Source organism: Homo sapiens, chromosome 13 (genome assembly GCF_000001405.40).
Source record: "Homo sapiens chromosome 13, GRCh38.p14 Primary Assembly".
Lineage (NCBI taxonomy): Eukaryota > Metazoa > Chordata > Mammalia > Primates > Hominidae > Homo > Homo sapiens.
Genome location: NC_000013.11, coordinates 45,759,967 through 45,784,933, shown reverse-complemented (window position 1 = coordinate 45,784,933; position 24,967 = coordinate 45,759,967). Strand labels below are relative to the sequence as shown.

At 44.2% G+C, this 24,967-nt stretch overlaps 1 protein-coding gene across 1 annotated transcript in view, besides 6 other annotated features; it reads left to right on the top strand.

Moving 5' to 3' along the window:
* Positions 1-7,692, top strand: part of SIAH3 (siah E3 ubiquitin protein ligase family member 3) — a 74,512-nt gene extending 66,820 nt beyond the window's left edge. Inside the window, exon 2 of the mRNA NM_198849.3 lies at positions 877-7,692. Within this exon, the coding sequence (NP_942146.2) occupies positions 877-1,551 (675 nt within the window). The 3' untranslated portion in view covers positions 1,552-7,692. The remainder of the gene's footprint in view (positions 1-876) is intronic.
* Positions 784-1,284: an enhancer, noted in NCBI's record as "H3K4me1 hESC enhancer chr13:46357785-46358285 (GRCh37/hg19 assembly coordinates)". NCBI's record gives its function as "activates a minimal SCP1, AML or CMV promoter by ChIP-STARR-seq in naive H9 embryonic stem cells {active_cell/tissue: H9 hESC(naive)}" and the evidence as "EXISTENCE:reporter gene assay evidence [ECO:0000049][PMID:30033119]".
* Positions 1,285-1,785: an enhancer, noted in NCBI's record as "H3K4me1 hESC enhancer chr13:46357284-46357784 (GRCh37/hg19 assembly coordinates)". NCBI's record gives its function as "activates a minimal SCP1, AML or CMV promoter by ChIP-STARR-seq in naive H9 embryonic stem cells {active_cell/tissue: H9 hESC(naive)}" and the evidence as "EXISTENCE:reporter gene assay evidence [ECO:0000049][PMID:30033119]".
* Positions 10,251-10,750: an enhancer, noted in NCBI's record as "H3K4me1 hESC enhancer chr13:46348319-46348818 (GRCh37/hg19 assembly coordinates)". NCBI's record gives its function as "activates a minimal SCP1, AML or CMV promoter by ChIP-STARR-seq in naive H9 embryonic stem cells {active_cell/tissue: H9 hESC(naive)}" and the evidence as "EXISTENCE:reporter gene assay evidence [ECO:0000049][PMID:30033119]".
* Positions 10,751-11,252: an enhancer, noted in NCBI's record as "H3K4me1 hESC enhancer chr13:46347817-46348318 (GRCh37/hg19 assembly coordinates)". NCBI's record gives its function as "activates a minimal SCP1, AML or CMV promoter by ChIP-STARR-seq in naive H9 embryonic stem cells {active_cell/tissue: H9 hESC(naive)}" and the evidence as "EXISTENCE:reporter gene assay evidence [ECO:0000049][PMID:30033119]".
* Positions 15,265-15,786: an enhancer, noted in NCBI's record as "OCT4-NANOG-H3K27ac hESC enhancer chr13:46343283-46343804 (GRCh37/hg19 assembly coordinates)". NCBI's record gives its function as "activates a minimal SCP1, AML or CMV promoter by ChIP-STARR-seq in naive H9 embryonic stem cells {active_cell/tissue: H9 hESC(naive)}" and the evidence as "EXISTENCE:reporter gene assay evidence [ECO:0000049][PMID:30033119]".
* Positions 15,787-16,308: an enhancer, noted in NCBI's record as "OCT4-NANOG-H3K4me1 hESC enhancer chr13:46342761-46343282 (GRCh37/hg19 assembly coordinates)". NCBI's record gives its function as "activates a minimal SCP1, AML or CMV promoter by ChIP-STARR-seq in naive H9 embryonic stem cells {active_cell/tissue: H9 hESC(naive)}" and the evidence as "EXISTENCE:reporter gene assay evidence [ECO:0000049][PMID:30033119]".

Below are 24,967 nucleotides of genomic sequence, written 5' to 3'. Positions count from 1 at the left end.
ACACAGTATCTATTGTGCTCACAGCTGTATCCCTGCAAGGCCCTGGCCACAGCAGATGCTCAATAAATGTTCACAGACACCTGATCAGAAGGCATCCTCACAGCTCTTGGTGTTTTGGGGGGCACTTGTGGGCACGCCACCATGAGGAACAGATGATGGGGAGATTCTCCAGGTGGAGGCTGCCTGGTGATGAGGCTCTGGGAAGCTGCCCTGGGGCAGAGAGCTAGAAATAGGGTAGATGTGTGCCTGGTGCGGCAAAGTCTCAGGAGTCACAGCGGGGACTCTCTCCTTAGGGACTGTAGTCCCAGTGCACACGATCAGCTCTGCATCCCACCAGATGCCTTAGGACGCAGGAGAAGGGCGCCCAAGACAGGACAATCCCTGACTACACTGGAAGGACAAATGGGCATTATGTAAATTTTGTTCTAAAATTAATAACTATGACAAAATAGAAAAAAAAAATCTATTGACCTCCATTGCCTGCACAAAATTATCAACAATATCAAAAAAGCAAAAAAAAAAAAAAAAAAAAAAACAGCTGTCTTTGTTCTTTGTGATTGATGACCATCCTACTGCATGTTACTTGACGAGGAAATTGCCTATTTGCTTGTGTATCTTATTAAAGAACCACAAAGGCACAAATACTGCATTTTCTTGGACTGACTTTTCAGAATCTCAACACCCCCCACCCCAAGGCGCCCACTCTGTCCTTTGTGGTTTTGTTTGTTTGTTTGTTTGTTTGTTTGTTGTTTAAGAAATGAACCTTTCTCAGCCTGCACTGGAGGATCTGCTTTTTAACACTTTGAACATCAGGGGAGTGGCGGCCTGGGAGAGTGGGCCTCATCCCCGCACTGACGTTCTTCTCTTTCCTTACAGTATGTGTCCAGTCGGCGCGCCGTCACTCAGAGCGCTCCAGAGCAAGGCAGCTTCCACCCTCACCATCTCTCCCACCACCACTGCCACCACCGCCACCACCACCACCTCCGCCACCACGCCCACCCCCACCACCTTCACCACCAGGAGGCGGGGCTGCACGCCAACCCGGTGACGCCCTGCCTGTGCATGTGTCCCTTGTTCTCCTGCCAGTGGGAAGGCCGCCTGGAGGTGGTGGTGCCCCACCTGCGGCAGATCCATAGGGTTGACATCCTCCAGGGAGCCGAGATCGTCTTCCTGGCCACGGACATGCACCTCCCCGCGCCGGCTGATTGGATCATCATGCACTCCTGCCTTGGCCACCACTTTCTGTTGGTGCTGAGGAAACAGGAGAGGCATGAAGGGCACCCCCAGTTCTTTGCCACCATGATGCTGATTGGGACCCCCACCCAGGCCGACTGCTTCACCTATCGCCTGGAGCTCAACAGAAACCATCGGCGCCTCAAGTGGGAGGCCACGCCCCGGTCTGTTCTTGAGTGCGTGGACTCGGTGATTACGGACGGGGACTGCCTCGTCCTCAACACCTCGCTGGCACAGCTCTTCTCTGACAACGGCAGCCTTGCCATTGGGATTGCCATCACCGCGACAGAGGTCCTCCCCTCAGAAGCTGAAATGTGAGGCCAGGAGCCACGGATGCTCCCCACACAGCCTCCCTAGGAAACGCCTGGGACCTCCCAATACCAGGACTCCAGACTCCTTTTTATTCTTCTCCTTTCTTTTTTTTTTTTTTAATTTTTAATTATTATTATTTTTTTGTCTCAGGTACTTTGTGAGATTTAGTTTTTGTCTGCCATGGGCATTATATTATGTAAACATCCTGTAATTTAAGATCTTGGTGTGATGTTTGTCCTGCCTTGTTGGTGTTGTTTTATAGAATGTTTGTAAGATTTATTCAGAATAGTTTTTTCCTGTCACCTCCAAGTCCTTTCTCCGCTAGTTTTGAAAGGATCAAAACACCATCAAGCAGACTGTTGGGGTTGAAAGGAGGCTTCGTGTGAGAATCATTTCTTGTTTCTCTTTTCAGTCTATTTCAGAGCAAGCTAAATCTGAACGTGTGCAGTCGGCAGGTTGGGGAAGGGGCCCAGCTCAGAGATGGATCACATTTCAGACCATCCAGACATGACTCTGACAGCTTCCCAGGAACCTCAAGGTCAAAGCTGAGCTAGCCGGGCATGAGGAGATCGTGTCTCCACCGCAGGGCTGGGGACTGGGCTAGAGGTGTCATTGTGTGCTGAGTGCTCAGGTTGATGCTGGGGCTCAGGAGAGTAGTCAGAGGCCCACCTTCCTGTGACGGGCTCTTGTCACCTTGTTCCCAGGCTGTGCCGTCTTCTCCTGCTCTGGAATCAAAGTCCTCAGATTTTTGATGCTTTCTTAAAAACCCCTTTGCCTTCTGTTGAGCAAGTAGTAGAAAAGAATAGGCAAGATGGGGGGTGGGGATGAAAAGCAACAGGAAAAAGAGAACATAAAATTAATCTCCCATCTCTGAGAGGGCACTCCCTCCTCAGAGAGTTTTATTATCAAGTTATAAAATCCATCAGTTCCTCCCTAGGGTGCAGTTCTTTCATATCATGCAAAAAGCAGAACCAGGACTCATCATCAAATGCAAAGAACTCAGAGGGTGGCACCCAGGATCTCTGACCTGGCGGGCTGGTCATCACTTACAAACCTGGGAGGCTCTCTTCCCTTTCCTCACTTTCTAAAATGCTCCTACCGTCCCATTCAGCACGCAGACGTGACCACGGCTCAAGTATGTATTCAGCACCTGTTGCAGTATGAATGACACAGTGACGGAAATCCATATTTCCTCTGCGCAGGCTGCTTTCTCTTATTTGGTTGTCAGAACAATTCATCAACATCTTCTTGTAGAAGTCTCTCGTGTATTTGAAGAAAGTCAGCATGTTTAGTCAACTTTGTCTTTTCTGTTCTAAGTTGGACACCTATAAGCCTTCCCAGTAGGACCTCTTCTAGCTCCTTTTTATCGCATTTGTCCCCCCCCTCTGGCTGCTCTCCAGACACTGCAGAAGTCAGGCACCCCATCCCCAGCACATTCCCATGACAGCCAAATGGGCCTTTGGCCAACCAGACATTACTCTCCGTGCCCTGTTCCTGCACCTCACCCCCTCGGCTTGGTCCTGGCAGGCATCCAAGTGACTACTTAGTCTCAGGCAGGTTGCCCTGGCTGGCCATCTGCAATTTTTTCTCCACCAAAAATAACTGATCCTGAAACACAACACCCTTCCCCCAACAACTGGGTTAATTCTCCAGCCACTTTTGGTGCCAACTTACACCCCCACGCACCAGAAGGGAGGTGCCAGTCGATACAAGATTTAATAACAGAGGCTGCTCTGGTCACACAGTAATCGCTGGGCCCCTGGGGCTGAGACTGCATTCCGTCAGAGCCCTGAGAGGGGCAAAAAACATTGCCACAGATGGAGGCACATGTCAGATGCTGCAGTCGCAAAAAAGGATTGGGGCCTGCGCATTCTTTGAGCTCTCAGATGCCCTGCCAGGGCACCAGCCACCCTCCTCCAATCACACAGATGCCCAAGAACACCTGAGGCTGGTCCGTCTGTGCGTGGAAAGACTGGCTGTCTTCCTCCTCACTGCATCCCCAATCCCCTTCCCAGAACCTAAGACCCCCTTGGCTGTAAGTCTTATGCCTTTAGAAGCCACAGGTCCTCTCCTGGTTTTTGAGACTCAACCACTTTGAAAGCATTTGTGTAGCATCACAGGTGCTCCAGATCAACAAACAAAAACCTCACTAAGAATATAACTAACATTCACAGGGCCTTAGGGCTCCTGCAGACATCACCTTTGCCTTCTGGTTGTGCCAAGTTACCTGAGCCACACTGGGAATGACTTCAGGTTATTTTCACTGCACACAAGACTGTATTATGAATAAGTGATCCCAGATGGGAGCTTATATTTTTGTTCCTAGAAAGCTTTAGGACAAAGCATGGGAAATGTATTATTATCTTCCATCTATGGTGCTCCCCAAAAGGCCTCTCCATATCCATATGTGAAGAACTGGAGAAGAAGGAGCAAACTAACAACCAAGAATTGGGAATAGGAAATGGTACCAGCAGTTTGTATTTGAGCTTCACAGTTCCTGAAGGGCTCTTTGATTTGAGTCTCAGGTTAATCCTCATTAGTATCCTCAATATACTAACAGAATAGAGGTTCTAAGACATGAAGTGATCTTTTCAAGGTCACACATCAGGTGGTTAGACCACAACCAAAACCCAGATCAACTGACTGCAAACTTGGTGTTCTTGAAGTAAGACTGATCCGAAATATTCAGCAGTCTTGCCAGCTTACCAGTGGACTGAGGACCTGAGAATCAACTGAGTCTTTGTCCTGGGATAGTTGAGGGAGCAGGGAGAGAAAGACTGGAGTAGATTTGCTTTTAGAAGCATCTCTGCTTTAAGAACTAGGCCAGGGATGGTGGCTCACGTCCATAATCCCAGGACTTTGGGAGGCCAAGGAAGGAGGATTGCTTGAGCTCAGGAGTTTGAGACCAGCCTGGGCAATATAGCGAGACTTCATTTCTACAAAAAAAAAAATCAGCTGGGCATGGTGACACAAGCCTATAGTCTTAACTACTCGGAGGCCAAGACAGGGGGATGGCTTGAGCCCAGGAGGTTGAGGTCACAGTGAGCTGTGATTGCACCACTTGTAACTCCAGCCTGGGCAACAGAGTGAGACCCTATCTCTTTAGAAAAAAAAAAAAAGCACTAGTCCACCTGGAAGCAGGGGGCCCAGGAAGTGGGTGGGCTGCAGATGGAGGCTTCAGTGCGCCAGGCCCTTTCTGAATCCCTTTGCCCACACCCAGGTTTCTCACCTTAGAGTCCCAGGAGTCCCTGCACAGAACGCTGGGATCTGGTTGCCTCATTCACACCAAGGTGCAAGAGTTAATGACTCACTCTCTAAGGAGTAATTGCCTTTTAAAAGAAGGCCTAGAGAGACAGCGCACTTAACAGTGAAAAATGAGTTACCAGTATCTGAACTTCAGGCATCTGCCAGAGGTTTTTTTCAGGAGGTGTGGAGAGAGGAGCATTCCTCCCCTTGAGGCTGAGCCTACATACATGGTTGACGCCGAAATGGAGGTCAGGCCACACGAAGATTGTCTTTAACAATTGGTATCTGCATGAATCTGTACCTGGTAAACCCCATCACTAGCTGTGGCTACTCTGGACATTTTAGGAATAGATCAGCATAGTAACCATAATAGTACTCATGGCTACCACTTATTGAGGCTTTTCTATATGATCCAGTAGGCTGCGTACTTTGAATATAGTAGATCATGTAATCCCCATAACAACCTTAGCAAGCAGGTGCTCTTTATTGTATTCATGTTACGGGTGGGAAACGTAAGCTAAGAGAATTTAGCCAACTTGCTTAAGATCACCCAGCTAGCAAATGGCAGAGCTGGGCCTGGGACCGGGTACGTATGGCTTCTGACCAACAGCAACCATGTCATTTCTATGAACATATGGACCCAAGGCTCAGAAGGACCGAGTCATAAAGTGTGAATGGCATAGAGGCCTTTTAGTGCTTTCATACTCAATATGGCCTTTTAGCTCCCCTTTTTCTCCCTCTTTTTTCAACCCAAGACCTAGTGGAGTACTAGAGCTGCTTGTATTCTGGTTGTTAATCTTTCAGGAATTTTGCAAGCTGATTGTTAATTAAGTACAGTCAGTATTAAAAATGATATACATTTACAATTAAATAAATTATATTTAAAGCAAAGGTCAAAAGTACTTAAAACTCATCACTTCCTAATTATTTCACTACTCTTTTTATTCTCTATGCTCCTGGGGTTATTTACATCTATCACATCTGTATGATGAACATACTATATAATAATGTGCTGCACCGCATCTTCCAGCTCCACATTTAGTGACGTCATGGTGATTGCTTGAAATTAGCCATGGTGGAAGTATTCATACCATGGAAATTAGCAAATGCTACTAGACAGGGATTTTTCTCCCTAGAAAGCCAGTTGTTAAGCACTTAACAGTATAATCATCCCTCAGTATCCTTGGGGGATTGGTTCCAGGAATCTCGTGGACACTAAAATCTGAAGATGCTCAAGTCCCTTATATAAAACGGCATAGTATTTGTATATAACCTACGCAATCCTCCCATATACTTTAAATAATCTCTAGAGTACTTATAATACCTAATACAATGTAAATGCTATGTCAATAGTTTTTATACTGCATTATTTCTTATTGTTGTATTATTTCTTTTTTTTTTCCTGAATATTCTTGATTCACAGTTGGTGGAATCCACAGGTGTGGAACATGTGGATACAGAGGGTTGACTTAATACCACTGCCTAGACATTGCTGATGAGCACAGCAGGGTGGGAGAGGGGACTTTGGAAGGAGAAGCAAGGCCCTGGAAGGCCGTACTGACAAGGGCATAAATGACAGCCAAGCCAGCGGAACAGCAAATTGTTGGGGAAACACGAACTCTTCTGGAGAAGAGACTCTGAGGCTTAAGCAGCTTCAAGAGCATTTTCTGCCACAGAGCACCCTCTGCTTTCTCCCCGGACACTTCCCTATTGCTGTTAGTGTGGAAAGTTCTATTTGGTGGCTTTCATGGAAAAATTGGGCTCCGCAAACTCAGCCTATTGGCTATCCCAATCCAAAAAGCAAAACCAGCTCTATAAAGCTCAAATTTCCTGTTACTTGTTCTTACAGGTCACCCTCCCTACCTCTTTCTTACATGCTGGCCAAAACCTAAAGAAATGTTTTACTTTGAAATTAGAAATTGGAAATATCTACCATTCAAGAGACACAGCAAGCAGTGGTGTCAAACACCACATAAGATGCATTATCACAAAAGTGGGACCCCCGTAAAGCATGAAGCTGAGGGACAGAAAACATAATGAGCCAAGGAATGTCACATGAAGAACAGGGCCCCGGGCCTTACTTTCCTACTTGGCTACCTCACTTTTTTGCAACCCAGTAAGGACCCTGTTCACAATCCATAGCCTACCCAGACCAATACTCTTTCTAAATCTGGGGCACAGTTTCCACTAGGACAAGAGTCACTGGAAACTTCCAGCTAAGTCCATTGAAGCAGGCAGAATCTTCAAGGTCAATAGTGCATCAGTTACTCTGATCCCAGTGGTTTCAGTGGAAGGGATGGAAGAAGTGAGGGTTGCTGAAGTTTCTACTTGGATGCATTTCTAAGGGAAAGGGGAAGGGATCATGGGTGGGACCCCAAAGAGTTAGGCTTTGATTGAGGTTCAGCTGCAAATAGCATCATGAGTGGCGTCTCCTAGTCAGATTGTTAAATTTCAGATTTTTTTGTTCATAAGATTTTCTTCAGGAATTGGTGAGTTCCCCATTGTGTTCACCTGGAAAATAGCCAGCTGAAGAAAAACTTCACTGAAAAGAAATCTGAGAGATCTAGTGTAGATAAACATTAATTTCCCCCCAAATCAGGTCATCACATGAACTACCTGGGTTAGAATTTGTCTTTTCCAATATTTTCTGAAAGTATTTCACCTTGGCTACTATACTATAAATACTCCTCAACCTTTTTCAGTCTTTTTTTTAGGGTATTGAGATAAGAAAGAGAAAGGAAATTGAGAAGCATTTTACTTGCCCTGAATTAATGTATATATAATTTTCTATGCTTTCTTATAATGTTAAAGACAATAACTTGGACAAACTCAAACTGCTACTTCATCTCTGCCCTCTCATAGAAAATGTCATTAAATTGCATTTGATATTGTTTCCTTCGACCCTTTGGAGTTGTTTCTGTGGCAGGTTCCTTTTCCTTCCACAGGCTACTGTGCGGCATGAAGGAATAGAAATGAAATGCTAAGAGGGAAAGTGCAATTATCAGGAAGTTGCCAGCTGCCACATTTGACTTATGCTTCATTATCTTCCTCCCCTCTTCTTTTCTGCCTCCATTTTAAAGTCATAATTGAATGTAAAGAAGAAAGTGCTACCAGAGGTGAATTGAAGCCCTGGCAACTAACTTGCCCCCGGAACTATTCCAGCGTACGGTGCTGCCCTGAGATGAGACACCAAAGCCTCTCACTGGATTGTAAAGAAAGAGACAGGGCTTCCCTCCCGCTCCAAGCACCCCAGTGTCCCTTATCATTGCTCTCCCCTGCCTCTGCCTGACAGCGCTGCCCCTGAAATTTACTTCTGGGCCTATCAGATCAGTTGTCAAGGCAGCCTTCATGGTTTAATTCTTTAATTTCAGGCCACTGTTAGTTACTGGCAAGATCAGGATTGAGCAGAGTTCTAATCTTATTGCCTGTCAATTCACTTTAACCTCAATCTTCTTCCCTGCCTCCTTACTCCCAAGACCTGTTTCCTGCTCTCACAAAGGCTTATAGCAAATGCCCTGAATTGATCTGAGTGATCAAAACTGACCGCATGGCCAGCATGAATATTCATGAGGCAACACACTATTCAGGCCAAGTCCTTTCTTGGGACCATTCTGCGCCCCAGTAGTGTCTTAGATATGCACCTCTTTCCGCAAAATACACTCAAAGACCTGCACCGTGGTTACTGAGTGCTGGAGAGAGAGATTTGCCTGAAAGAAGGGAGAAAGTGGCCCTCCCGAAACTAACCAGGGGAAGAGAAATCCAGCCCAACTCCAACCCTGGGATCCAGGGTTTTGGTTCCCAAATGTCAGTGTGCTTGAGAATTACTTGGAAAACTTGATTTCTAAGCCCCAGAACTGGAGATTCTGACTCAGGAGGTCCAAGTGGAGGCCAGCATTCTGATTTGTAATAGTCTCCCTTGAGAGATTCTGCTAGGGGTGTTTGGCTGAACTTTAGGTTCTTCAATTTAGAGCCAGGCGTCTGGTGAGACAAGTGGCCGCCAGGAACAAAGAAGCAGGTAAAGTCACCTGAAGAAGAGAGCTGGTGCTTCTGCAAGAGAGAGGAAGGCAGCAAAGTGACTGGAAACGGCCACAGTTACATTCTGATGGAGAAGCAAGAAAATCTTAAATAGAGTCCAGAGAAGATAGCAGAGTAGTATTAGGTAGGAGGTCCCTGTCAACCAGTGCTAGAGGGAACACTAGACTTCTGTCATTTGGACATAGGAGGGAAAAGCAGAGGGGACAGAGGAGCAAGAGGAGGTTGTCCTAGCAGATCCAGACACAGGACCTCATCAGCATGACAGACGGACTGGAGCTGGCTGTGAGGCCAATGTGGTGCAGTCTCACTGCTGAGTGTCACACAGTCACGGTCCCCACAGCTTGGTGCTGATGAGGTGGCTGTGTAAATCTTCCTGTGAGTACAAAAGGGGCTCATTCTATAAATCCCTGCCTGGTTGGGATGGTAATTCATATTTAAATCTCTGCCCCCAGCCTTGACAGGGAGTTACCTAGCAAATCCCTGGGGAGGCATTTATTCATCCTGCAAATCTCCCCTGGCTGCCTGAGCAGGGGGCCACCATTTCAGGGCCCTCAAAGGGGAGTGTGAATTATCAGACCTCTCTCTCTGGCAGCTGAGAGCTAAGCCCCACGTAAGCCTTGCCTACAGGGTGAGGGAGAAGGAAATCCCTGAACTAGTTCCTTATTAGCCTAGAGGTAGACAAGATAGACTCAGTGCACTCTCTGCAAGGAGGCCAGTGGGAAAAGTATATATTAAGTATCAAAGTTGGGGGCTTTGATTACCACCCATTTGGGAAGTAACTGAATCTTCCATTCCCTCTGCCTCTTCCTTGATTCCAAATCAACTTCCATGAGTACACAGGAGGTGGACATTTCTTGATTTTTAGATCTGACTTTGCAAACAACTCTGGGAATTACAGATTTAAAAAATAAAACACAAACAGAGAAGCAACCACCCCAAAACATTGAAATGCTTCCAGGCCATTCCAAGTTGAGCTCACCACCCACCTCATGGTCCTGCAAACAGTGACAAAATCTAGGCCAATCAGCAAAACTCAAGGAAGTTCTCCTGAAAGGCTGTATTTCCTAAACATCCAGCTCTGCACCTTCACCAACCAGGAAAGGTGCTCTATTGAAAAAAAGAATAAAAAACCCATGATCATAGACAGGCGCGATGGCTCACACCTGTCATCTCAGCCCTTTGGGAAGCCGAAGCAGGCAGATAACCTGAGGTCAGGAGTTCAAGACCAGCCTGGCCAACATGGTGAAATCCCGTCTCTACTAAAAATACAAAAATTAGCTGGGCATGGAGGCTAAGGCAGGAGAATCACTTGAACCTTGGAGGCAGAGGTTGCTGCGAGCCGAGATCGTGCCACTGTACTCCAGCCTGGATGATAGGGCAAGGCTCCGTCTCAAAACAAGCAAACAAACAAACAAACAAACAAAAAACCCATGATCACAGGAGAGAGTTTAGAGAAGTGGCCAGATCTGAGGATGAGGCACCGTTGAGAAATGGGCTTTAGAGGAAAGAGGGCAGAGAATAAGCTTCCTTGGTAAAATAAAGGACACCTAGTTAAATTTAAATTTTAGATAAACAACGACAACAACAAAACTTAGTGTAAATATAGCCCATTAAATATTTGGGACATATTTATACTAAAAAAGCATTCAATATTTATCTGGAATTCAAATTTAACTGGACGTCCTCTATTTTTATTTGTGGAATCTGGCCAACCTAGGAGAAAAAATGTCCACAAAATGCATTGGTTTCATTGTGGGCACTGGTGGCTATCTGAAGCAAGCAAGCAGAAGGGAAAGCTCCCCCTGCCTTGCCAACTCTGCCCCTAACCTGGGGAGCTAAGTGTGTGGCCAATTACCTCTAGCCACAAGGCTGAAATGCTATAAGCCTGTTTTCTGTGCGGACACTGTTGAGGTGGAACTTGACTCTGAATCTTAACAAGGCCAGGATAGCTTTAGATCCCAGAGTCTCGGATAACACGGGCATGTGCACAGAGGGAAGCCATGGCAATTTAGAAAGTAGTTCCAAGTCTTTGTGCACCATTAAGAAGAGAATTTCAGGACAGGATGTATCCTTGAGCAACAAAACATTACTGAATGCCTACTGGATGTTGGGCTTGCTGGAGGATCCAAAGAAAACAGAAGATTGGTCCCTTCCCTAAGGGAGTTTCTCAGTGCACTTTAGGAAACAAAACAAATGCATTTATACCTGCATCAAGCAACTATCAAGTGGTCCATTAGTTCCTGAGCAGCAGCAGCCCAGTAGCAGTGGTTGGGTTGGTTTGCACAATTCCATAGATTAGGCCAATAAGCAGAAAATGAGCCCAAATGTATTTAGACAGCTTATTGATATAGCATCAGAAACATTTTGGTGCAGGTTCCTGGAGCCCCAGTTCCAACAAGACAACACAACAAGGACTGGGTGCTGCCTGTACATGCAGTGGATGGGCATTACAGCACAAAATCCCTGAGACTACGAAAGAAACCCTGATCTTATATGGGGCTGCAAGCAAGCCTGCCATCTTCTGCTGTGCAGAAAGAAACTATTTTTATTACCCTGGAATATAAGCAAATCTCTCTGAGGAGGGAATACTTCTATCTTTACTATTCTCAGATAAATAAATTTGCTCCACAGTGAATCACTGTTTCCATGCTTATATAAACATTCCTGAAAAGATAGCTCTGGAGCAATTGATTATTCATGCCTAGACATGTAGAAACATGAGATTCATGGACAATTGTCTCCCAACAGCAATACACAGCCTTATATAATGACGAGTTAATTAAATGATTAAGATTTTAACTGATGTGGTTTGAGAAGGAGCTTGATGGCAGTTATTATGGTTAAAGAATGCTTTATCAAGGAAGAACTTGAGGTTGTCCCTGAAGACCTTGTAAATAATGTCCAATATTACCAGCCCATTTTATCCACCAAAACAGGGATCAGCAACTGTTTTCTGTAAAGGGCCAGATAATAAATATTTTAGGTTTTGCAGACTATATAGCCTCTATCACAACTATTCAACTCTGCTATTATACTGTGAAAGCAGCCATAGACAATATGTAAATGAATGAATGTGGCTGTGTTCCAATAAAACTTTATTTACAAAAACTGGCATAATCTGGATTTGTCCCATGGGCTATGGTTTGTCTACTCTGCATTAGAACATACAACAATTAACGTTCAAAGAGATGCAACAGGATAATCAATTGTGGGAGATGGTAGAAGGAATTTATTCAAGAGGAAGAAGGTTGGATGGAAAAGCACTGAATAACAAAAAAAGTAATAGAGAAAATACCTTGATGAGGTTATTCCTGGGGTTCTTTTTCACTCTGAAATTCCCTAAATGTTTAAGGATTGGGTAGAGTAACTACAAATGATAAAGGCATTCTGGGCTTTTTCCCAAATATAAGAATAAAGTCAGCATACTGTGGAAACTTAATCTATGTATTTGTATCCAAGATTCTACAAGAGCAGGCTACAGAATCTTACTCATATGGAGCATGTAGGTTCCCTGAAATAAATGATAAAAGTGGCTTTGAGTCTGATGGCCCAGGACCTGTCCCTAACATCTGGATGAAGTCTTCATCATAGCAATGAGGAGGAAGGCATTGCTGGGGAATCCTGCAAGTAAATTTCCTGAGGCAGAAGACAGTTAAAATGTCAGGGCTCTGTCTCGGGAAATCCAATTCATGATAAGAGATAAACACTTTGGAATATGATACTATGTGGCGAGATGACAGACATGGAGACATCCTCTTTTAAAAGAAAAGTTTATTACAGTTTCCAAGAGAAAGGGGCATGTCACACCATGAGAGCCACACAGGGAAGAACAAGGTCAATCAGGAAGCAGCAGAATGAGGAAAAAGCCTGGGCAAAACCTTTACTGTTGTTTTCACAGAAGGCATGGGTGAAACAGAGTAAGCAGCCGAGCAGGCTGAGGATTGGATAGTTTCAATAAATAGGCTCTAAGCTATGGGGTGAGCTCTATTTTTCTGGTTCCTGGCCCTGGGGCAATTTAGGGTAGGGGGACAGACTGTAGGAGCAGATAAAATAAGGATGGTGAGGGTGCGAACTCAGGATTGGTTGGTTTGCGTACTAAATACATGCTCTCAGGTAAACTGTTCACTCACGATAGCAATTAGCTAACCCTGGGATGGGCAGTATGCCCCCTAGGTCTGCAAGGCCCTAAGAAGTCAAAGCCTCATAAAATATGGAAAATAAAATAAATGATTAATATACCCAACCCCTCAAAAATTTTGTTCTAAGAGTGCGGACAAAAGAAGCAATAGCCCAAAAGAGCTTAATCTCTTGGAGTTCTTGTGGGCTGAAAGAATTGTGATCTTTGTAGAAAACTCTCCCTTCACACTCAGGTGGAAATAGAGGCCCAAACTAAGGCAGTAGGAGCAAAAAAAGAACCTAAAGAAAGAAAACAGCCTTTCAAGAGGACAGCAATTCATAAGACAATGTTGGTAAGCTTATGTGAATGGTGCCTCTGGATGGTACAGTGCACTATCTGCACAACTGTGTACAGTAGTCCTCAGTTTGAGTGCCCAGGACACACAAGAAAGGGAGGGCATATCAGTCAAGGTTTTTAGTTACAAACAACAAAATCGACTTTAGCTAGTTCAATCAGAAAATATTCGGTCATTTATAGCATTGGGGCTCAGAAAACAATATATGGTGCTTTGGCATGCCAAGCACTCTGAATTAAAGAAAATTGGAAGGTCTTAGAAGCTGCTTCAGAATTAGGGTCTCTCTTATCTTGTTTTTCCCCCAAGGGTAGGGAAGGTCTCTCTCTCTCTCTCTTTCTGTGAAGTTTTCTTATTTGACTGAGGGAAGTTTCTCCAAAAGAAATATAATTGTCTTTAATCCCTGTCTGAAATCTTATTAACCAGGAAGAATTAATCACCAAAGATGAAAACAAAGGTCATCACCACATCCCCACCCAGACAGACTTTTCATCTATTCTTTTGAAGGATATTACCTGAGAGGCTTTATCTTCATTGTAAGACAACCTTTGTTCCCAGTGCAGTTCTGCCCCTCACCTTCCCACAACTTGTCACCACCTCCCCGCAAGCCCAGAAGAACTTTGTTCCAGGCTATTATTTGTTTTTCAGGCCTATCTTATCCCCTGGAGACTATTTACTCTTCCTCCAAAATTGCCTATGTTCCCCACTTCCCTCTTCCCTAGGAAGCGGGTATGTAAGCTTTAATCTGGCCCTTCTTTGAGTTTCATATTTTGTGTGTGTTTGCATATTAACAAATTTGTATGCCTTTTCCCCTGTTAATCTGCCTATTGTCAGTTTATGTCAACAGACTCAATTATCCAACCTTCAGAGGGTGGAGAGAAAGTTCCCTTTGCTGTGACAACAGGAAGGCTAGAGAGTGACAGCCAGGGGCAAAGCAGCCAGAGGAAACACCGAGCTACAGCACAGACCTCTTCTAGCAGAAATGCCGCTGCTGCTGCTTTCTGCTGCTTGGCACCTTGATGCGAGGGACTGAACTTTAGTGGCAGAAACTCTACCCCAGCTGCCCCAGAAGAACCAGCTATGCCTGTCAGAAGATTAAGTCTCTAAATCATATGAGGATTCCTAAATGCCAGGGAAACTGGGGAATATGGATGTTAGCCTTTAGGCACTCTAGCTCAGGAAGGCAAATTAAAAGGGCACTGGAACCTGGGTTAAGTGAGCCAATTTATGCTATCTGCCACAGTAAAATATGAGAAACTTGGAGTTTCAGGAATAAAACTGGGGAGTAGAGGCAACTACCACTGGGATTTTCACCTGAGTACTTGACGGTCCTCATGCCAGCATAAGCTGGGGAGCAAAGGCTGAAGTATCTGAAGTAAGAAGCACCAGAACTCTTCCAGTAGACAGCCTTTTGCCCATAGACACATTCCCGAAACAATGAACTAAATCACGTGCTAAGTGCCACATATAATATTTATCACTTTAAGAATCCCATTGTGAATTCTTTTGCAAAGTGAATAACCATTCTTCTATATTTCTTTCCTGTGAAACTGGATTTAATATATTGAACTTTCTTAAATCAAGGTATACTGTCCCTTTGGAGCCTTTTAAAAGAACAGAACATCACAAATCTCATGAAAGGAGGCTATAAAAAGTCACAGTTTTGACATAACAGGCATCACATAACTGCACATGGAAACTGACAACTGTCGATGCCATTGTTCAATTTCCAGCCTCCCAAATTAAGAGCTGCAACTCAACAGTTTGGACGTGGAGGGAGAGAGCTGTGTGATCCTCATACCTGGCCGTGTCTGCACAGTAGCTAAAGCCCTCAAAGGATCAACTCAAATGTAGATCATGGGCCCCACATTGACATGTATACTATAAATACTCACGACGGTGCCACTGGTTGGGAGGAACGGGTAATCAATGCACTTATAAAAAGCAGCAGGCAGATGGTAATTAACACCTCACACCTTCCTTCCCCAACATGCAAAGTAGAATTGTTACAGTGGCAGCAGCACAGAGAGGGGTGTTGGGCTTCGTGTCCAAGCTTTTGCTCTTACTTATTATCTTAAATTTTTTTTTTTTTTTTTTTTTTGCCCAGAGAGCTGGAGGCCAAAGCAGCACATTATGAAAGATTTCTCTGCCTGCTCACTCCAATCTCAGCTCATAATGGAAGTTGGTTCTTGTTAATAGATTCATGTACTCCTTCCCCAGTGCCTTGTCAAATAATAGCACAGTCAAAGCAATAGCAGAGAGTCCACACTCACACATCTCACAAGCCCAACAGGAGGAGGGGGCTTGTTTATTGCACTGTCTGGAGCAGAATCCAATTATTTATGGACCATTTAGATGCAAATGTATCACTCATTTAGCAAACATGCTGCATATGCAGACAATTTAGCCAAACAATGGATCTGTGAGGACATCCCCGCTAATCTCTGAGTATCAACTGTGCCTTTTCAAAGGGGATTTGGATTTTCTGTGAATTGATCAAACTTGACAAGTAATTTCTACCTAATGTTTAGGCTAGCCTCTTCTCTCTTCACCATTTGCAGGTGAAAAATCCTATTTTCTGCTAGTGACGAGGTAGTGCAAAAGGCTACAGATGCGGGTTAAGGAAGAGAAAGAGATTTTGTGCCCACAACTATGTTGCCACAGAAAATAAAACCATTCTGAAGGATCTATTTTGTTTGGTTGCTTTGAAATTACAAAACATTTTCATTCAACACACACCCCATCCCCCAACCCATTTATGCTTCCTGAGCTATTGCAGAAGAGGAAGCTGTGAATAAATCTAAGCCATCTTTGTACAAAGAGAGAGAGTGATTTTGCACACACACTCAGAAGAATGTCTGAGTCTCTGCCTGGGAATTATAAAGAAGCCTCGGCTGCTCCAGCAACTCCTGGAATCAATGAAAACCATATTAGGGAAAGAGACACCAAATTTGAAAACTCCACTAGTCCTGGAGTTTATTATCAAAATGTCAGCCTGATTCAGTTGTGCCAAACGATTTGGTGAATAGGAGAAAGGTAACATAATAAGCACAGCAGGTCAGGGAGGTAAAATGGAATTAGGTGAATTTTTCTGCTGCAGGCTGGGAGAGAGGGGCAGAGGGGCTGTGCTGCCTGAGTGAGGTCTGGGGATCAGGCTCTAAATATTTTAATTTCACAACTAAAACCTACATGCATTGCTGCCTGGTGCCAAATGAGTAATCTTTTTTTAAAAATCACATCGTCCTTTTCCCATGTCAAAATGGAGAAATTGTCCATCACCACCTCAAGGAGATTTAGCCCAACAGAAAACTCCAGTGACCACAGGTGATCCTTTGGCCTGGTCATTGGAAAACAATAATTACATTTCCAACACATTCTTTAGGTAAGTTACCGCTTGTTTTACTGGAAGGCCAACCCAATGCTTGGATTCAACTGACAAGTGATAAAGTGCCTGTGATATGATCCAGGAGCACTGGGCTAGGTGCCTTTTATATTTCTTAAGAAAACCACAACAACAACAACAACAACAAAACCTTGATATGGTTTTCTATTAATTCAACAGATTTTTTAACTAGAACTCATGTCAAATGAATTGTAATTCATCCTCATCTACCCTACTCTATATCCCCATTTGTCTCCCTCCCCCCGCCCCCACCACACACACACAGTACCCACACTCATTTTCTACTCTCCAGTCCTCACAACTGCTAAGGAACTCCTTACAACTGCTAAGGAAATCCAGAGCCTGACAGTAGTTAAAGCGGTAAAAATAGATTTTACTCAAGAACAATTACAGTAGAAGAAAAAAGACCTCAGTATAGAACTGGTCTCAGTTCTGAATACAACCATGGCAAGTGGGAATTTACAGCCAAGGAGGAGAGTGGGGAGGAGAGTGGTAGATAGAAAATTACCAAGAGGAGACAGCAAGGTAGGGGAGTTCTTGCTAAACTGGCCTAACAGGGGCCAGGCGTGGTGGCTCACTCCTGTAATCCCACCACTTTGGGAGGTGGAGGCAGGTGGATCATTTGGTACCAGGAGTTTGAGACTAGTCTGGGCAACATGGCAAAACCACATCTCTACAAAAATTCAAAACTTAGCTAGTTGTGGTGGTGTGTGCCTGTGGTCCTAGCTGCTTGGGAGGCTGATGTGAGAGGAAGGATCATTCGAGCCTGGGAGGTGGAGGCTACAGTGAGCAGTGATTGGACCACTGTACTCCAGCCTGGATGACAGAGCAAGATTTGTCTCAAAAGATAAATAAATAAACTGACCTAACGGGATTCTTGCTCAAGGCAGGCCAAGTGGATCAGGTGCGTCCCTGGGGGATGAGGAATTTGACCAGATATTGAGGGTGATCAGATATCAAGGGTGAAGGCTTCCTCCTAAACTGACTTAGGAGGATTCTTGCTAAAACTGGGTGATGCAGGCCCCACAAGGACAATCACTGAAGCCTGCCGTTGAAGCCTTGTTGAGACAAGGCCTTAGAGAGCCTAACACAGGTGAGGTCAAGGAGGAAGTCTGTTACCACACTCCTGGTTGTAAAAACCTGCTGCTTGTACTTATTAATGTAAGGTTTTCTTTTTGTGTGTTCTGGCTTCATTCCTCACGACTCTACTTTCTCAGCTTTTTTAAAGTCCTGAGCTACCATATTTCTTTGTTGTTAAATTTCAGTGGCCTCATCTCAGTCTTCGTTTTCCTCAAGCTTTCTGCCACATTTGATGCTGTGGGAGCTCATGGGTTTCCAGGAAGTTCCTGAGCGCTACACAGAGAGACCCACTAGGCAGCTTGAACACAATAACCTGAACCAACGTTTTCCTGCATGCTCTCACTGGCATTAGGGCCTCCCCACCAAACCCTCCACTCTTGAGCTCCCTGCCTCTGGGGAGGTCACACTTTCCTCTCTGCATCTTAAATCCTTCCTGCTTTCTCACCTCGCCTTCAGGGCACCTGGCGTCCCCTTCATTCTTTCTCTCCATCTTTGCTTCTCCACATTTCAGATGTGCCAACATTTCAGAAAAACCACATCACACATGGTGATGTCTCTCAAGGTATTCGAAATGCCCATAAAATATCCTACATTATATCACGTTGTACTTGCAGTTGTCACCCTCATGATGATTTTAGTATGGGTGAAAACATATGACTACTTCACACTGAAATGCCTACTATGTTATTGTAAATAGCTTTCTTTCTGCTTCTTCTATATATTACACTTAATGTATTATAATTTCTGAAATTATGAGTAGGTTCATTATATTATTTGTACATTTTTTTCAAATGGGTTGATAATACTGCTCTCTTTTATACCTTGTGCTAATCTTTCTTTTTCAGACCCACTCCTCCTTTCTAAAGTCTTGCCTAGATTCCAAAATTATTATTTGCCAGCCCCCACCCTAATCCTTACATTTCCAAATTCTTGCCTCTCCAATTCTCCCTTTGCACTGCCAGAAAGATTATCATTATGTAGCACATATCAGACCATGTCCCTCCCCTCCTACAAAGTCCACCATGGATCCCTAGTGCCTCCTGAGGGGATTTTAACTCTCGAGCTTGGCATGTAAAGCCATTGCCATGGGGCCTCTGCTACTTCTCAAGCTGCATTCCCCCAGGTGTCCACCCCACATCCTATGCTTCTGTGGGAGACTGGAATATGCCACCCCAAAATATGAAGGATTGTTGAGCTGAAGGCAATTAAGAAGAAAATGTAGGAAAGCTCTCTGCCCTTCCTCTATTTGCCTAAAAGCAGGACATAGATTTCTAAAGACAAAAGGTAACTCCCCCCAACCCCACCAGGGAGAATAAACATTAACCATTAAAGACAACTTTGGACCCTGAGTAGAAAACACAAGCTCTGTTTCTCCCACTATATTCTCACTAGATGAGTGTCTTCTGACACTAGATAAGTGGGGATTTCTACCCACACACCAAGTAAACAATCAATTCTGCAGCAGGCTGCAGCTGGGTATCCTCTAATTCACTTCAACTCTGACACTATCTACGTAGAGATAGCATCACATCACACTGGTTGAGGACTCAGTCCCACGAGACATCCGCCCACTTCCAGTGCTGACTGCAAGCACCAGGTTGTTTTGCCTGTGCTTCCGAGCAACCAGCTATAAATTGGGGATCCTAAGACCCCCACCTTGGGTTTGATGAATTTGCTAGAGCAGCTCACAGAAATCAAGGAAACAGTTACATTTACTGGTTGATCATAGAGAAAAGACTCAGATGAAGAGATGGATATGTAAGATGAGGTATGGGGGAAGCTCCAGGCATGCCACCCTTCAGGAATCTCTGGAAGTTCACTGAACACAGTCTTTTTGGGTTTTGACAGGAGCTTCATTATGTAGGCATGCCTGATTGCATATTGGCCATTGGTAGTCAACTTAACCTTCAGCCCGTGTTCCCTCCTTAGATGTTGAGGGTGGGGCTGAAGGTTCCAACCCTCTCATCCTCCCTTGGTCTTTCCAGTGACCAGCCAACAGTCAGCTCATTAGCATACAGAAAGACATCTCTTTGGAGATTCCAAGGGTTTTAGAAGTTGTATGACAGGGCAAGACCAAATATATATTTCACAGTATCACAGAACCTTATCAGCCCAGAGATGGTACCAGAGGAATTTATATTCACAAGCTTTCCCAACTAGTTTTTCCCACATTTATTTGCATTCCCGCAATTTACTGCCCCTAGAGACTCAAAATCCTTTTCCTTCATTTTGTCACTTCTCTAAAAATGTACTCTTCTTGGTTGAAGATGCTATATAAGCTGGGATTCTCACCTTTTTGAGAATTGTTCATCTCTGGATGTCTCCCAAGTATATATGAGATATGTGTGTTAATAAGTTTGGTTTTTTTTTCTCTTACTGATCTTTTTGTTACAGTTTCCATTCCAACTAATAACTTGAGAGAGCAGAAGAAAAAGTTATTTTTCATCCCCTACACTTCAGTAACTGGGGTTTACTCCTGTAGACCCTTGTGTAAACTGTTCCCTTTGCTGGAACTCTCTTTCCCTCCTATCATGACAATATGAGCCCGCAAAACTCAGTACAAGGGTCACTCCTCAGTGAAACCTTTCCTGCCCCAGTTTCCATTTCACCTGTTTCTCCTGGGCACTTTATTTGAACTCCATGAGAGAGAGCGTCCACTTATTCCTTCCAGTACCAGATTTGTTGTTTCCATACCTCTCCCTAACTAAGGTGCTAGTCTCCTGAGCCAAGAAGGTCTCATTCATCTTCGTAACCCCCTCAGTACCTAGCACTTTCACATAGTGGGGCCTCAGCAAATGCTTATCAAGTTGAGTTAAAATAGCAAATCCTGCTAGAGCTGGTGAAAGTTGTCAGAATCAAAATGGAGTCACCAACGTTAGGAAAACCTTGACATATAGAGTCCAGGAAGGCCGTGAAGAGCAGGTTCTCCTGCTTGTATGCCTGATGACAAAAGAGACTCTACAAGAACCACAACCTTGCACAAAGGCCATCTCAACCTTACACAAAAAAAATACTTCTGCAAGGACAACTGCCCAGCAACTGCCTGTCCAACTTTGAGCTGGTATCATCCTTGTTTTTGATCTTTGTAGCCAAGGATAATTATTTCAAAACACCTCACACCTTTATCACTCAATTATGGAATCCTCCTTATTTTTTCCTTAAAAAAACCCTTGTTTTCTTTTACCTCCCTGAATATGCAAATAGTTTACTGTGCATGCATATTCCCATTGCAATGCTGTATTCCAAAATAAATATCATTTATTTTGGCTTTCTTTTAGAAAGCCTCTCTCTGTTTGTTATTTAAGTTGACAAGCTCGAAGTATTTCTGGAGAAATATGGGTCTGGTGAGACTGAGGAAAGGAAGACAGAGTTGCTGTCTCCATAGCCCTATCAACGGAGCTAAATTCAGGGCTCCCCCAGGAAAGGTCTCAGACATTTCCCTCCTAGTATTTTAATTAAAATTAAGAGCACACATCAATAAAACAATGAGAAATAAGTGCAGCACTATTTTTTAATGCCACACAGTGATGCTGACTCAGCTCCTAGAGCTCTGCTTCAAAGTACCTCTTCTCTGCCCACCACCGTGAGTTCAGCCCCAGAGGTTCTTCCCAGTGGTACTACTGGGGTCAGTGAGACTCTACTGCCAATGTTCTTTCGCTAAGAGTGGATTCACACCACTCATTCAGCAGTGGGCCTGGGGCCAGGACGCCCATGGGGGCCATCATCCCTGCAGGCAGTGGTCGTGCACAAGGGACTGCAGTGCCCAGCACTCAGCACTGCCTTTCACCTCTTTGCGGCCTCCACAGTCATCTGACTCTGTCTGGACTCTGCCCAGTTCATGCCTCCAACCTACTTTCCCTTCTGTCTCTGCCAGCTCTACCCACGTGGCCCACTTTGACTCTACTTTCCACATCATTCTCATTTCACCCATCTTCCCTCACTCTCTGTTCTCCTGCAACTCTGACCAACTCTCAGGCCCTGGAATTTGCTCTGTGTCCTCTTTCTTCAGTGTCTTCATGTTGTCTCCTCTGCTTGCAATGCTATTCCTCCTACCAACCCCACCTCCCTTTTTCTGGATAACTTCTACTCCTCCTTCATGCATCAAGGAGACCTTTCCTGACACCTCAAACTCTAAAGTGTGCACTGGGTTAAATCCTTCTGGTTTGAGCTCCCTGAATCCTGTCACCCTGTAACACTCATCACATTTATAGAAGCTTGTGTTTTGTTTGGGTTTTTTGTTTGTTTGTTTGTTTGTTTGTTTGAACATACCATAACTTCATTGGGGATTGACTTGGCTGCAATTATTACAAAACAAACAGACTAAAGGCAATTGTGATCCACTAGGTAGAGGTAACACATTTCCACAGCATGATTACTATATGAATGAGTGACATTATGTTCCTGAAAAAAACAGCTGCATCATGTGATGGTAAACATTTTATTGTCAGTCAAATCATATGGGTTGGTTTTACTTGATCTTAGTCATTTTTCTTCACTCTATAGCAGAAAAGCTAGAAATTTTACTTTCTGTTTACCTTCACATTTTTGCTATATAACCTGCTGTTGCATTGAATTCTGGCTGCATTTATAAAGTTTAAATTATCTCTGGTTGATATCCAAAGAGAAATGATCTAGAAAAAAATGATATAAAATATATTTACAAGTTAGTTTTGAAAGATCATTTTTACTCTTAGTAAAAATGCAATGGTCACAATACAAATTCTGTAGATATAGCTACTGGTATCCCTGACAACTTTTAAGATCATTTAAACATTCTTGATCTTAAACATATCTTAAAAACTTTTCATTTACAATATAAAATTCCAGAAAGTAACCAGTGGTTGAAAAAATATAACTACTTAAGTGTAATTAAGATAACCAAATAACCATGTAGGTAAATAAACATGGCATGGTTTCTCTTCTGCAGAACTCAGGAACAGCTAAAATAGAGATGCACAGAGCAAGGTGGTGATGGAGGCGGCATTGCTCAGAGCTTCTGGAGCTTCCATGCCCTCTCTTGGCACATCATCCTCCCAGCCCCTCCATGTGTTCACCAACCATGAGGCTCCTGTAGTAACTTGTTTTACGTTTGTTTTCTCATATCTGTATCTGTTCACCAGGTCCCCATGGCCCCAACACAGGGTTTGGCACACAAGAGAAAATCAATAACTATTTGCTGAATTGAAATGAGTTGCCTGACTGGGCTGGTCTGCATATTTCATGTGAATGTCAGATCACATGCCAGACGTTGTTCCCCAAGTGTTAGGGGAACAGCCCTGAACAAAGCAGGCAGAATCCCTGCTGTCAAGGGTCTTCTGTTCCAATGGGAGGAGACAGATTTTAAAAAGACATAAAGAGATGACAAAAGAATATAATTACTTCCAGTAGTGATGTGTTTTGAAAAAAGTTAAAATCCTCCCTTTCTACATTGACCTGTTAAGTTTGCCAAAATTACATAAGCTCCAACTCCCTTGAAGCCCATGATAACCCAATACCTGGACAAAATTAGAATGATATTAATGAGAAAGAAGCAAGACCCATGGCTTTTGGGTTGACAGCTGGGGTGTCTGCCACCTTCTGTCATGCTGGATCCATCACTCCCACCATCTCTACGTCTACTCCACAGCTCCAGCTCAGGCCCTCTTCAGTTTCAGTTATTGGCAAATATCTCCCTCTCCATTTGTGAACAGGAAGGCAGGGACCATCACTTCTTCAACCCTGCACACAGCCCAGCATGCAGTAGGAGCTCAAAAAACATTCACTACTTTCAGTAAAGTTGAACTTTAACTTATGTACAGAGAAATAGAGCAAACAGCAACTTCAGTTTGCAAACTCTGAAATAATCATTCTATACGATTCACCTCTTGGCCTTTCTGATAGTATCCACTGGGTCCTTGTTGGCAGATTTGGGGATTAGCTGATGTGACATTGGTCAAAGGCCCCGTTCTGTTGTCACTCAGCTATCCCAGCAGTTTGGTTCACCGAGCTTCCTCTCTATGCCTAGCCTCAGATCACGCATCACCTACGTCAATAACAGCTTCCTCTGGGGCTCACCAGGAATAGGCCACTACTCATGTGGCAGTTGGCAAATACAGTTCCACAAAAGTTCTCACTGTCCCCATCCAAGTCAGAGCCAAGCCCAGTGGACTGGGGACATCCAGAATGTGAGGCAAGGCAGGAGTGTCTCAAGAGCCTGGATTGGAGGGTGAGCAACTTTTCAAAAGGGTGGCATCAAATTGTCCCATGGGGGTGTCAGAGGGAAAGCAAAAGGAAAAAGAGTGCTAGCTGATAGCACTCCAAAGGAAGTAGCAGTGCAATGAGAGAGGCGAAAGAGGTGTTGAACTTGGGAGAGGAAACAAGGAGAGAATCAGGCCAGATCAGTGATTCTCATGCTTTAAGGGTGCCCCAAACCACCTGGAGATCTTGTTTCTGTTTTATTTTATTTATTTATTTTTAGAGATAGGATCTCCCACTGTCATCCAGGCTGGAGTACAGTGGTGCAATCATAACTCACTGTGGCTTGAACTGCTGGTCTCAAGCGAACCTCTTGCCTCAGCCTCCCAACTAGGTAGGCCTACAGGTGTGCAACACTAGGCCCAGCTAATTGTATACATTATATATATACACACACACACAGAGAGAGAGATGGGATCTCTTTATGTTGCCCAGGCTGATCTTGAACTCCTGGCCTCAAGTGATCCTCCTGCTCGGCCTCCCAAAGTGCTGAAATTACAGGCATGAGCCACCGTGACCAGCTGGAGTCTTGTTAAAATACAGATTCTGATTCTGTAGGGCTAGGTAGAGTTTCAGATTCTGTATTTCTGACAAGCTCCCAGGTGATGTTCGTGCTGTTGGGCCTCAGATCACACACTGTATAATAAAGAGCAAAATGATTTTTAAGGCCCTTTCTGTTCTGGGGTTGAGTCTGATTCTCTGAAGGGTTAAAACTAGGGTGACCACACTGACTCATGGGTGCTGGGGAAAAGAGTCTTTATTTCATACAGCCATATGCCCAGATCAAGTGGGCTAAAATAGTACTATATAAGAAAGAAAGAATAGATTTTGGAGGCTAACTACCACCTCTGACACAATAACATTGAATCACCACTTATTTTGTGTTAAGCACTGTGTTGGTACTTTACCTGCAAAGCACTACCGTTAAGGTGTGTACTCTCATTCTCATTTTACA